The 14,223-nt window shown below is 43.3% G+C and overlaps 1 protein-coding gene across 57 annotated transcripts in view, besides 1 other annotated feature; it reads left to right on the top strand.

Annotated features, from left to right (window-relative positions):
• The window catches only part of ZNF532 (zinc finger protein 532), a 123,557-nt gene extending 115,637 nt beyond the window's left edge, over positions 1-7,920 (top strand). For 41 of the 57 annotated variants that reach the window (NR_148459.2, NR_148460.2, XM_047437584.1 and 38 more), the window contains 3 exons: positions 495-607; positions 2,910-3,057; positions 5,412-7,920. Coding sequence is in view for 54 of the 57 variants with exons in the window: in XM_047437584.1 (XP_047293540.1) it covers positions 495-607; positions 2,910-3,057; positions 5,412-5,906 (756 nt within the window). In the remaining 3 variants the exon portion in view is untranslated. Of the gene's footprint in view, positions 1-494; positions 608-2,909; positions 3,058-5,411 lie in introns of those variants that run through there. The other 16 variants (XM_047437592.1, XM_047437607.1, XM_047437599.1 and 13 more) reach the window with 3 other exon arrangements.
• Positions 5,050-6,249: an enhancer, noted in NCBI's record as "BRD4-independent group 4 enhancer chr18:56650842-56652041 (GRCh37/hg19 assembly coordinates)". NCBI's record gives its function as "activates an origin of replication core promoter dependent on BRD2, P300/CBP, MED14 and CDK7 cofactors, and independent of BRD4, by STARR-seq in HCT116 cells {active_cell/tissue: HCT116}" and the evidence as "EXISTENCE:reporter gene assay evidence [ECO:0000049][PMID:35650434]".
• Positions 7,921-14,223: the final 6,303 nt, after the last annotated feature.

Raw genomic sequence — 14,223 nt, forward strand, 5'->3', positions numbered from 1 at the left:
TTAACCCATCCTCCTAAAATTAGCCCCATCATGGTTACCTCAGCCCTGTCCTCATTTTTATTATATATTTTTAAAAAGTTTTTTGGTTTTGTTACTGTATTCCTAAATACAGGTTGAGTATCCCTGAGCTGAAAGTTTGGGAACAGAAGTGTTTCAAATTTTAGATGTTTTTGGATCTTGGAATATTCAAATATACATAATATCTTGGGACTCTCTAATTGTGATATTTATTCTTGTTTCATACATACCTTATATGGATAGCTTGAAGGGACTTTTATAAAATAATTTTAATTTTGTGCATGACACAGTTCTGACTGTGACCCGTCACATGAGGTCAGATATGACATTTTCCATGTGTAGTGTCATGTCAACCCTCAGTTTTGGATTTGGGGACCTGTAATAATGATTTAACTTAAACTATTACAAAAGAGTTCTTAATTGTTTGAGTGCATCTATTTTCATTCCCTTAAGTGAACTTTCTCTCCTTCCTCCAGCAAATGAAGAAACACCCCTGCCGCCAGTGTGACAAGTCTTTCAGCTCGTCCCACAGCCTGTGCCGGCACAACCGGATCAAGCACAAAGGCATCAGGAAAGTGTACGCCTGCTCGTAAGTCCTGGTTTCTAACGGAACGCAGTGAGAGGACTCAGGAGGAACCTCTGGAAGGTTTTTAGTGTAGTACCATTAACTTGCTGTGTGCTCCACAGTTCCTACATTACATTTCTCAATTGTATTATTGTTTTGGCATAGAGTTTTTGGATTGGGTTGTCACACTTAAATATGAAAATAAAAAAAAAAGGAGCATTTTCTTGCATATCCCACATACATTGTGTGTTTTTTTTTTCCCGAGACGGAGTCTCACTCTGTTGCCCAGGCTGGAGTGCAGTGATGCAATTTTGGCTCACTGCAACCTCTGCCTCCCAGGTTCAAGTGATTCTCCTACCTCAACCTCCTGAGTAACTGGGATTACAGGCACATGCCACCACACCCAGCTAATTTTTGTATTTTTAGTAGAGACGGGGTTTCACCGTGTTAGCCAGGCTGGTCTCAAACTCCTGACCTTGGGTGACCCACCTGCTACCTCCCAATGTGCTGGGATTACAGGCATGAGCCCTGGCACCCAGCCTGATCCCTGAGTGTCTTGGGGGAGCGATTGATTGGCAGTACAGGGTCTCTCTGCACATGTCGAGTTGGCCACATTGGCGAGGTGATTTGGCTAGCTTGTTTACTCAGGGCTGGTCACAGATTCAGTCCTCGGCTGGGCCCTTTGCCCCTTGGCTGCAGTCACCACTGAAGGTGGGGCAGCCTGTGACCAAATGCAAGGGACTGGGTGGGCCAACATCAACCCAGACTCCAGTGGACAGTCATAAGCTGCTGCTTCATACGTGAACACCAGAACGTATCTCATCATTAGTGAAAGGCTGTCACTCAGCTGGAATATACCTGGAGTGGGTTGATAAGAAGAAAGCATGTCTCATGAGAGAGAGAGAGACAAAGGACCCTGAGGCTAAAGCACTGAAATGTTACATGGATGTCAGTGCAGGCCAGATGGACCCTATGGATCAGGAGACTTATGAAGGTTGGCTGTCAGATTCGCAGGGGGTTATGATAACCGGGTAGGAATCATCTGATTCAGTGAAATTGAAGCTGTTTAGTGAGATAAGAATGATTATGAATAAAGTATGTGTTGAGACCAAATCAAAAGAATCAGAATTTAGAAGGATGCTCTGGGCCAAGAAGACGATGGGAGATCTGGCCCATAATGCTTCACTGATAGGTTTTGTTTATTTCCCCATGAACTCACTGTAAAGCAGTAAAATGCTGGGATTGTTCTGCTAACTTACGGCCAACAAAAAATTCATCCTCATGGAGAGCCCTCGTCCTTTGGGGGTGGTGCTGGCTCCTGCCACTGCCCTGCAAGTGTCTCTAATGTGAGGTCATCAGGGTTTAGGGCCAATCAGTATGAATTCCTCCGAAGCTATTTTGAAGGCAGATTTGAGACCACAAGAGACTTTTTGTCCTTCCCTCAGTAGCATTCTTGATACCTGGTTTTATAGCATACATAATAACTAGGGCCATTACCTCTTTTTTTTCTTTTTTTGAGACGGAGTTTTGCTTTTGTTACCCAGGCTGGAGTGCAATGGCATGATCTCGGCTCACCCTACCCTCCACCTCCTGGGTTCAACCGATTCTCCTGCCTCAGCCTCCCGAGTAGCTGGGATTACAGGCATGCACCACCATGCCCGGCTAATTTTGTATTTTTAGTAGAGACAGAGTTTCTCCATGTTTGTCAGGCTCATCTCAAACTTCCGACCTCAGGTGATCTGCCTGCCTCGGCCTCCCAAAGTGCTGGGATTACAGGCGTGAACCACTGCACCTGGCCAGCCTGTTTTCTAAACTATCTTTGGCCTGCTTTATTAAAATAAGTTTTTCTTTGAAAAATAATTGACCTATTTTTGATCTGCTTATCATCTACTGAGTGACCATACACACTCGACTGCCATGAGTATAAACATGCATGCTGCTTTTGTGCCTGGAAGAATTTGGCGCTGGACACTCATGTCTTTGTCAAGGCAGAGGACAGGGATAATTAACAGCAGCACAAAGGAGTCAAGGAGGGACCTTATACTAATGTGTTCAGCATGGTGCTCATTCTGAGAGAATACTGAGTCATTGTGAAAACTTCTTTTGAAATGCAATATTTTCCCTTTAAAATTAAAGCCATCTAGACCTGTAAATTAAGGGCCACTCCTAGCAAAATTGCTGATTGCGTGTTGAACCATGGTGTGAACTCAGCTTATTGGACCTGTCTGTGTGAACTGACGGCTAAGGAGGACCTTCGACCGTGAGTTCTTCCACAGGAGCTTATTTTGTCAGCAAGTGCGTTATCTCCTTGCCTTTCACCCCACAGGCACTGCCCAGACTCCAGACGTACCTTTACCAAACGTTTGATGCTGGAGAAGCACGTCCAGCTGATGCATGGCATCAAGGACCCTGACCTGAAAGAAATGACAGATGCCACCAATGAGGAGGAAACAGAAATAAAAGAAGACACTAAGGTCTAACATTGCAGATGTTTGCTTTACAGTGAAATTGTGTTGACTTGCTTTTCCCATTCATTTTTTTCCTTTCAAGTTTTTGTTGCATAGTTACAGTTTTAAAAATTCAGACTGGCTGGGTGCGGTGGCTCATGCCCACCACTTTGGGAGGCCGAGGCGGGTAAATCACGAGTTCAGGAGTTCAAGACCAGCCTGGCCGACATGGTGTAACCTCATCTCTACTAAAAATATAAAAAATTAGCTTGGCGTGGTGGCGGGCTCCTGTAATCCCAGCTACTCAGGAGGCTGAGGCAGGAGAATCGCTTGAACTTGGGAGGTGGAGGTTGCAGTGAGCTGAGATCATGCCACTGCACTCTAGCCCAGGCGACAGTGCGAGACTCTCCCAAAAAAAAAAAAAAAAAAAATCAGACCACACTGAAAGTATAAAATAATGATTAATCTCCCCATAGACCCATTCTGACCTCATCATCAGGAGTTCGAGACCAGCCTGGCCAACATGGTGAAACCCCATCTCTACTAAAAAAATACAATACAAAAATTAGCCAGGCATGATGGCAGGCGCCTTAATCCCAGCTACTTGGGAGGCTGAGGCAGGAGAATCGTTTGAACCCAGGAGGCAGAGGTTGCAGTAAGCCGAGATAAAGCCATTGCACCCAAACCTGGGGGACAAGAGCAGGACTTTTTTTGTTTTTTTGAGAGAAAAGTTTAAAGAAATAGTTTAGGCCGGACACAGTGGCTCATGCCTGTAATCCCAGCACTTTGGGAAGCTGAGGCGGGCAGATCACTTGAGGCTAGGAGTTCGAGACCAGCCTGGCCAACGTGGTGAAACCCCGTCTCTACTAAAAGTACAAAAATTAGCCAGGCGTGGTGGTGCACACCTGTAATCTCCAGCTACTCAGGAGGCTGAGGCAGGAGAATTGCTGGAACCTGGGAAGCAGAGGTTGCAGTGTGCCAAGATCACGCCACTGCACTTTAGTCTAGGCAATAGAACGAGACTCTGTCTCCACCCCCCCAAAAAAAGTTAGCAGATACTTAAAAAGCCCTCCTGTCTTCGGTGCTATGCTAGATCTGGAATGTACCCAGGTAAAAGCTTGTATGTGCTTTCAAGGAGTTAATCATCGAGTAAAACCTCCTCAGAATATAAGTCAGACTGATGTGGCATTAAAATGCAATACTTCAAGTGCTCCTGGTGGTGAGTTAAAGAATATGTGTGAAGCCAAGGCGTGGTGGCTCACACCTGTAATCCCAGCACTTTGGGAGGCCAAGGCAGGCAGTCACGAGGTCAGGAGTTCGAGACCAGCCTGGCCAATATGGTGAAACCCTGTCTCTACTAAAAATACAAAAATTAGCTGGACATCGTGGTGCACACGTATAGTCCCAGCTACTTGGGAGGCTGAGACAGGAGAATCGCTTGAACCCGGGAGGCCGAGGCTGTAGTGAGCCGAGATCATGCCATTGCACTCCAGCCTGGGCAATAGCGCGAGACTCCGTCTTAAAAAAAAAGAAAGTGTGTGCAAAGGTAGCTTCAGGTCATGGCCACGTGTGAAGGTGCACATGAACAGAGCAGAAAAGCTGGGGCACAGAGTGCGGAGAGGAGGGGCACGTTGGCTTGGGGAGGGGATTCAGAGTGGGATTTAGAGCCCTGGAAGCAGACGCAGTAGGGGAAATGGTGTGAAGGTGAGGAGGCAGGAAAGGGTGGGGAAAGCTTCCAGAGGCTCTCAGTCTAAAAGCAAAATCCTGACACTCTCTCCCACAAGGGGCGTTACAGTTCACCTCCTGCAGTCTCCCTGAGCACTCCTTCCTACTGGCTCTAGCCCCTCTTCTGTTGCCCACTCACAGGCCTGTTCCCACCTTGGGCCTTGGCACTCACAGCTTCCTATGCCTGGACTGCTTTCCCGACACTGCGTCAGGTCTCTTTTCAAATGTCACCTGTCACCAGGCTGTCCCTGACCGTACCACATCACCTAGCAGCCACACATATACCCCCCCCTTGCTTCCCATGGCCCTCATCCCACCCTGCTTGGCTGTCCTGGGTCTGACATACTGCATATTTTCTCATTTGTTTCTGTTCATCTAACTCCGCTGCCACAAATTTCAGGAAGCTAGGAGCTCATTTGTCCACTGTTGTGCCCCACTGGCAGAGCAATGCCTGCTAACAGCTACTAGGTTTCTCTGTGGAGTGGAAGAAAGGCATGGGCCTCCGGGTGGGGTGGCAGACACAGCTTTAAAGCCCCTAAATCCCAAAGCGTTCAGCACAAGTTTTCCTGGCAGCTCTAAAGTAAGAGAACCGATCATTTATCAACCACCGTGAAGGATGGTTTTCAGTCGTGTCATTTGCTTTCTTTCCCTGAAAGGTCCCCAGTCCCAAGCGGAAGTTGGAAGAACCAGTTCTGGAGTTCAGGCCTCCCCGAGGAGCAATCACTCAACCACTGAAAAAGCTGAAAATCAATGTTTTTAAGGTTCACAAGTGTGCCGTGTGTGGCTTCACCACCGAAAACCTGCTGCAATTCCACGAACACATCCCTCAGCACAAATCGGATGGTTCTTCCTACCAGTGCCGGGAGTGTGGCCTCTGCTACACGTCTCACGTCTCTCTGTCCAGGCACCTCTTCATCGTACACAAGTTAAAGGAACCTCAGCCAGTGTCCAAGCAAAATGGGGCTGGGGAAGATAACCAACAGGAGAACAAACCCAGCCACGAGGATGAATCCCCTGATGGCGCCGTGTCAGACAGAAAGTGCAAAGTGTGCGCAAAAACTTTTGAAACTGAAGCTGCCTTAAATACTCACATGCGGACACACGGCATGGCCTTCATCAAATCCAAAAGGATGAGCTCAGCCGAGAAATAGCCACAGATGCTCCATGAGGAAAATCCCTGTCCACATTGGAATAAAAAAGACATTTTTGTTACAAAGTTTGCAGTATAATAGAGTTAACAGTACTGTCTAGGCTGTTGCAATATATTCTCTTTCAATGTACCTTCCTTCACCTCGTCGTATATATCCTCGATAAGTATTAAAACAGTATTTGAGTTTAAAAGAGTTTGTATATATTTAAATGAATAACTTTTTATACTCTTTGTTACATGTTTGTATCAGTATTTAGTGGAAAACCATTTGAGTTGTTTTGGGTTAGAATTTTTCTTTTTGTACTGTTTCTTTAAAACAGAGTTCTTAGTAACAGGGGCAGTTCCTGAATTCAAATAAACCATTTTGTATGTTTGGATTTTGAATGGGTTAACTAATTACAGGCTAAAATAATGCCTTTTTTAGTGTTTTTAATTTTTAGAATTCACTACATAAATTGTAAGTAATTGTGGGTCTCAAAAACACTAGGAACTTTTAAGTGTCTTAGCACTTCCTCGATGTGCCTGCCCTGAGGGAGTGAGTTCACATTTGAGACAACTGCACTCCAGTGTGGACGTGCCTTTGTCTTCAGGCCATGCCGAAGGGTGTTTAAAGCAGTCTTGCAGGTCGCTCCTTTCCCAGCCGTGGATAAAAACTGAAGCTAGGAATCTAATAAGGAATGCTGATTTCCTCAGTTCCATTTTGAGGAATGGGGAAGGCTATTCTAAAGAAAAAAATGGGATTTGTTTTCTCGGCAGATCTGCAAGGCTGGCTTTAAGAGCACAAGGAGGGAAAGTAACGAAAGGGCTGGACTACTATAAAAGTTACAAATACGTAGTTAGACCAATAGATTTATATAGTCAGGTTTTTGTCATGTAATTTATTAACTAACTATTACAGAAACACAGCTAAGAATATCAAGTATTTCTCTGGCTCTTGACAGAAAAAAATCAGTTGACTTAACCCTTTGCTGTCAAAAGAGTTGGCGTTTCCTGTTCTGGGTGCTACTGCCAAACGTTATGGTACTTAGAGTCGGGATGCACAACTTCAACCACCGACTTATCAATGCAGCCGCCTGTGTATTGCAATTGGCCGTTACCTTAAGCACTGAGCCACCCGGGTTTAGTTCAGCCATTTCAAGAAGTATATTTAACGTCGGTAGTTCTGCTTTATTAAAATGCAGCAGAGGTACTCTTCTGTCCCTTCCGTTTATAGTTCTCTGAGAGAGTTCTATTTTTTGGTTTTGTTTTGTGTTTTCTTTTGCATTTTGTATCTTGTATTTATCCCTGAACATGTTTTGTACCTTTTTTTTTTTTTTTTTTAAGAAAAGGAATTCTTTTGTGTATATATAGATACTTGCATGATATACTGTAGTCAATGTTCGGTTCCTCAAAAGGTCTTGCTGCTGTCAGGTGTTATGCACTCCATCCATCATAACTGTATGAAACACATTTCATATGTAAATAAACGTGGGACATTTGGCCCTTGTGCTTCTGTGAGAGAATTATTGATGGTGGGTCTCTGACATCTTTGTGAAGTTTGGGAAGTAATTAATTGCAGCGACAAGCTACAGGGTGTTGCAGAATTCTTCCCACTCAGAAGAATGGCATATTCGTTCTCATTAGTAATCAGCTATTTTGTCACTTTCTTGTTGACTCCATCAGTACATGGGTACAATCCGAGGGTGTGAATTTCAGCTTGAAATTCCATTGCTGTTCCTTGTTTTGTTTGTATTGCTCTAAGTTGTATTCATAATAGCACTTTCATATGTTTCTGCATTTGAACCTTGCAATAAGCCTGTGTGGTAGGCCACATAGGTCCGAATAACCTAGTTTTACAGTTGAGGGAGCTGAGCTCAGATTCAGTTCTTTGCCGAAGCCCTCATAGCTGGTAAGTGGCTTTGCATATTAGAACCCAAATATTTTGCTCTCTAAATCTAATGCTCGCTCTATGTGGTTATGTACATATTGACAAATATTCATTTATTCAACAAATAAAAAGTATGTACAAAACATGATACAGAATTTTTGTTTTTGGCACTATGGCTTTATAAATAACCTGAAAGTCTTTCTACTCTTAAATACCCAGAGATGCTTAATATAAAATTAACACCTGGTAAATGCATAGGTGAGAATACAAGAAAATTTTAAAAAATGCCCAGAGGTCCAAAATGAAGAAACCAAAATCTAGATTCTAGAAAAACACTACACAGTGCTGTAACCCTGGGGGAAAACCTGGATTGTTCAGCTGAAGAGGAAATTGGTAAACTGGAAGATAGCCCTTGAGAAAATTAGCCTCAGCACAGAGATAAAGTGATGTTTCCAATACGAAAGAGAGGTTAGGAATCAAGGACAAAATGAGAAGATCCAGCTTCAGTTTAATGGAAGTTCCAGAAAGGGGGACTAGAGAGAACTGGGAAGGTCAGTGTAGAAAATCTTAGCCATTAATGAAAGACATTAATACTTGGATCAACAGTGAATGCTCAACAAAAATCATGCTGGGACATAAATTCTGCCCATTCTTCATTAGTTGTAGATGCTGGGTGTGGGCATTTGAGGAGGAGGATAACATGAGGTATGCTTAATTCTTAGGAAGTCCATGTACTCTTGAGTGCAGAAGTGAGAGCTAAGCCTGGAAGCAAAGGCTTAGGCCAAGTTGTAAAAACCCTTGAATGAGGCTGGGTACGGTGGCTCACGCCTGTAATCCCCATATTTTGGGAGGCCGAGGTGGGTGGTTCACGTGAGGCCAGGAGTTCACAACCAGCCTGGCCAACATAGTGAAACCTCATCTCTATTAAAAATATAAAAAATCAGCTGGGCGCAGTGGCAGGTGCCTGTAATCCCAGCTACTCCAAGACTGAGGCAGGAGAATCACTTGAACCTGGGAGGCGGAGGTTGCAGTGAGGGGAGATGGTGCCACTGCACTCCAGCCTGGGCAACAAGAACAAAACTCCATCTCAAAAACAACAACAACAAAAAAACCTTGAATGATAGAATGAAGGGGTTTGTATTGATAGAGATAGTCATTTGGACAGGGGAGTGATAGGACCAGATTAATTGGTGGCAGTGTTTAGGATGGAGTATATCAATCAGGATAGGTCGGGTTATGCTGTGGTTATGACCTTAAGCCTAAATAGCTTATCACAAGACATTTCTTGTTCACATTCAGTGTCCACTGTGGGTTGGCTGGAGGCATGGCTCCGTATCTCCTTGTCCCATTACCCCACTATCAAAAAGTTGCCAGTTGCTGTGGCAGAGGGAAAATGCAATGAAATGCTGAGGCCCAGAAGTGACAGATGCCACTTCTCACAAGTCACTGGCCAAAACCAGTCATACGGAGCCACCTAGTCACAAGGAGGCTGGGAAGTGCAATCCTCCCACGTGCCCAGGAGGCTGAAAATATTTGGACATCACAGGAATAACGTTTAAATTGGCATAGCTATGGTGCCAACACAGTAGGAACACTTGACCTAGGGTGGTGGGAGTAGGCTTGGAAAGAGGCTTCGGTTGTAAGTAGCATTTCAGAAACAGTTTCCAGAGGGTTTCTTAATGTGGAATACAGAGAAAGTCTGATCTGAAAGTTCAAGCTTATGTGATTCCTTACATTTTTTCTCAAGGTTTAGGTTACTTAAAAATATGGAAGTAGGCCGGGAATGGTGGCTCACACCTATAATCCCAGCACTTTGGGAGGCCAAGGCAGGTGGATCACCTGAGATCAGGAGTTCGAGACCAGCCTGCCCAACATGGTGAAATCCTGTCTCTACTGAAAATGCAAATGAGCCAGGCATGGTGGCACCCACCTCTAGTCCCAGCTACTCAGGAGGCTTAAACCCAGGAGGCAGAGGTTGCAGTGAGCTGAGATGGTGCCACTGCACTTCAGCCTGGATGACAGAGCAAGGCTCTATCTCCAAAAAAGAAAATTTTATATATATATAATATATAGTACATATATATATAATACATATGTAATATATAATACATATATAAAATATATAATACATACATAAAATATATAATACATATATAATACATACTTTATATATATGTAAAAATTAAGAGTTGATTACCAGGAAGATGATCTTAAGTTTCAGGTATACATACAAATTATGCTTTTGTTTTTATGTGTTTGGGTGATATATCAATAGCTGAGTAACAAATGCATACAAAAGAATGCCAGCAAAACGTTACTTGCAAAATGAGAAAAAGGAAAATGTAGGCTTACACTGCATGGCAAAGACCACTTCCTTCCTCCCAAGCACGTTTTCTGCAAATTCCTTACTCCTACCACAGCAAGTAGTCCAAAGAACAGCTGTTCTACCCTGAAGCTCTGGTGGGCATGCCTCACCAGTGTCAGCAGGCTAGTGAGTTTCCATCCTAGGATCTTTGACCAACAGTGAAATTTCCTCTTGAAATTTTTGGGCAGCCAAGAAATTTATAAAATATGACTCAGAGGAACCCTTCATCTATCCCAAAGGATAGTCTGAAAATAAAAAGTAATGTGCCAAATGTAGGATGCTATTTGTGCAATTTACACACACACGCATGCACACACACGCACACACACACGCTTTGCAAATATCAGATGCTGTAAGGATTCCAGATTGTAGCTCTTAATTTTAACATACATCTTCTAAACAAAGAACCTACCCTTAATTACCTTAAAAACTTGGCTCCTACTCAAGAGGTGTAACTCACTCTGCTTAAATGCATCCTTGAAACTTCTTGTTTTCTTTGACAATTTTTGTTTTTCTTTTCTCAGTTATGAATCTCACACCCTTACCGAGTTAGCTGTAAGCCTTTGGAATATGACAATGTGAATGTCTTTCTTTATAAAGATCATGATAACCAGAAAACAATCTATAGTAGATGCACAGAACATAAATAGAAAGGATTATTCATAACATCCCACTACAGCAGTCAAACCACAAACCATCCAGCAAGACAGGGAGAAACAAAATACATCCCCAACAACCAGAAAACAAATTACAAAATGGCAGTAATAAGTTCTCACCTGTCAGTAGTTACTTTGAATGTAAATGGGTTAAATTTTCTAATATGAGGACAGAGTGGCTGAATGGATTAAAAAAAAGACCTAAGTACCCGACTGTATGCTGCCTACAAGAGACTCAACTCTCTTAAGGATGCACATAGACTGAAAATGAAGGAATGAGAAGATACTGTATGCAAATGGAACCAGAAGAGAGCAGAGGGTAGCTATACCTACATCAGACAAAGCAACTTTAAGTCAGAAGCAATAAAAGAGACAAAGGACATTATATAACAATGAAAGGGTCAATTCATCAAGAGGATACAATAATTATAAATGTATCCAACATTGAATGAAGCACCTAAATATATAAAGCAAATATTAATAGATCTGAAGGGAGATAGAAACTATAATACAATAATAGTAGGGGACATCAATACCCCACTTTCAATAATGGATTACCATCCAGACAGAAAATTAATAAGGAAACATTGGACTTGAACTACACTTTATGACCTGACAGACATATACAGAACATCCCATCCAACAGCAACAGGATACACATTTTTCTCAAGTACACACAGAACTTTCTCCAGGATGGATCATATGTTTGGCTGCAATACAAATCTAAACAAATTTCAGGGGATCAAAATTACCTTAAGTATCTTTTCTGACCACAATGGTGTGAAACTTGAAATCAGTAACAGGAGAAATCTTGGAAAATTCACAAATAAGTAGAAATTAAACAACATGGGTCAAAGAAGAAATAAAAAAGAAAATCAAAAAAATCTTGAGACAAATAGCAACTATGTACCAAACACCTATGGGATGCAGCAGAAGCCATTCCAAGAGGGAAATTTATAGCAAGAAATGCCCATATTTCTGTGAAAAGTCTCTCTTCATGCTACTAGAAGTTTCTGGAGTAGCCAGTTGTCATTCTATAGTCACTGTTACCCCCAATCAACCCATTCTGAACAGCCCAGCCTCAGTTCACATGGTTTGAGTATAAGGCTGAATTTGAGACTAGGCTACTCTCAGTCTTTTCAGAGTATTTTCTTTTCACATCCATTTTTTCTTCACAGTCCCAATGGATTTTGAATGTTTTAGTAACGATTCAATACATTGGATAAAACTTTAATGATCTTAGCCTACATTTTTCTAGGCATTTGCTCATTTATATTTGCTGCCTTCTTTGGAAATCTAGATTTGGGGGTACCCTAGATCCTGTTTCAATTAAGGTCCCAGCAGAATGCAGTGCAGCACACTGCAAAAGGTTTAACTTTCAAGAAATTAAGGAAGGGACTATACACAGAGCTGTGTGCTGGAACAAGGCCTGAGAAGCCTGAGTAGGGGTGGAAGCTGGAGCTGTGGGAAAAGGGCACTCAGGAAGAGCCACTGCCAGAGCCACAGTGAAGCCAGGAAGGTGTGGGGAGCGGAATCACCAGGAGGCCCTCTCATCACACTCAAAGATTTCCTGCCCGCACCTCCCACCTGCCAAAGCTAAATACAAGCTAGATGACAAGGCAGCCACAGTAATAGTCTATAGATGTCCGTGTGTTGGGCACAAAACAGGACAAAGAAGGGTGGATGAAGGATCTGGGTTTCCGAGTGGGAGGTTATAATGATCACTGACACGTGGCATGCACTTTCAGGAGTGCGTGTTCTATGCCTGTTTTGTCAACATGCATTTTGTCCCCTACAGGCAGGCTCTCCAATGGAATACGGTACTTCAGATTCTACATTTACCCTTTCTAATTACCTTGCCAGGTTTCTCCTGGAATTATACCTTTTCCCTAGTGGTTATTTTTATGCAAGGAAACAGAATCACATTTCCCAGAAGATATTCCTTACCAGTTTCTAAATTCAATTTATGAGGTTAGTTCTGACTCATCACGTAGCGCTATTTATAATGTTTCCCAGTATTTAAGGGAACTGATTATTAAATTTGCTGTGCTATTTTATTGCAAGCTGCTTTATCCTTGAGCTTTTCTTATAGTTAGAACTGTACATTACATGACCATGGCAGATCTATTTGCAAATACAATCCTTGGCAAGACCATGTTTTCACCCGGGGGAGTTCTATAATTAGAGTCCACCATAGCACACCTCCAAGTCCAACTCAGTTCCAGAAAGTGTGGGTTTCGCCCCTGAGTCCATGAGTCATTTCCTGACCTTCAGGTCATGTCATGCTTAATTGGATTGGTTATTTTTGGAGAACAAATGCTATTTGTTTTTTAAAAAAGAACAAGGTAGGCACAGGTCCGCTGATCAGAGAGGATGGTGTGATGTTGACAAGAGTTAACGGGAAGTAGAGCAACATCTTCCACCCTTTCCAAGGTGGAAACAGATGCATCTGTAAGCAGGAGTAATGAATGTCTCTACTTTGCCAGTTCAGCACCTGAACTTCCCTTTCCAGTGTTGGGGGTACCTGCCATTGTATGAATCTTGGCAAGAGATAGATCTTACCTCCCACTGCAGAATCCAGAAGGTCACTCACCCTGACTCCCAGCAGCCTAACTTCAGGCACGGGATGACCAAAACTATGCTCCTGCTCGACTCTTCAGTAGGTGATACAAAGGAGCGGGCCAGTTCAACACCATTTGTCTGGTGGCGTGATGGCAGCATAGTGGCAATGGCCGTGGTGACTCTGAATTGAGAGTAGACTTGTGAACTGTTTGTCAAGGTGAGGGAAGTCAGTTTGTCTTTAAGGAACTACTGAATGTCTTGGACACAAGCAGTGCCAACATCATGGGGAGAACCTAAAGTTTAGACTCTTGGTTCCCTCTGAATAAGACACCAGCTAAACAACATGCCAGTCTCTGTTGTTTCAGAAGAGACCAAAATAAATGGAAGCGAGTGCCTTTCAATTGCTATAAGACCAGCCCCGGAAGACCTCCCTGCTCCCGTCACCATATCTAACCTCACCTCCTATCACTTCCCCCTACTCCCATGTCACTCCTTTTCGTTCCTATCCACGATTCATATTCCTGTTACAGGACCTTGGCACATGCTCTTCCTTCTCGTGGAATGCTCTTTCCCCAGTTCTCATGAGGGTTTTTCACATGTTTCACATCCGGTCCATGCAGAAGTCCCCCGCCTGGAGAGCCTTCCCCAATTCCCTTACTGAAATGTGCCCACCCCACTGAGCACACACCTGCTTTGCCACTCTCCATCTCCGCTTCCCATTATTTTTCTCCCTGGCACTTATCACTGCCTGACATGATATGCTTATGTGCTAAGTGTCTGCCATCCCCTGGAAGAATGTTCTAAGATTTTCCATGAACTCTCTGCTTGCTTTCTAATCTGAAACTGCCATTTCCTCTCATTGCAAGAG

Source organism: Homo sapiens, chromosome 18 (assembly GCF_000001405.40).
Source record: "Homo sapiens chromosome 18, GRCh38.p14 Primary Assembly".
NCBI classification, from domain to species: domain Eukaryota; kingdom Metazoa; phylum Chordata; class Mammalia; order Primates; family Hominidae; genus Homo; species Homo sapiens.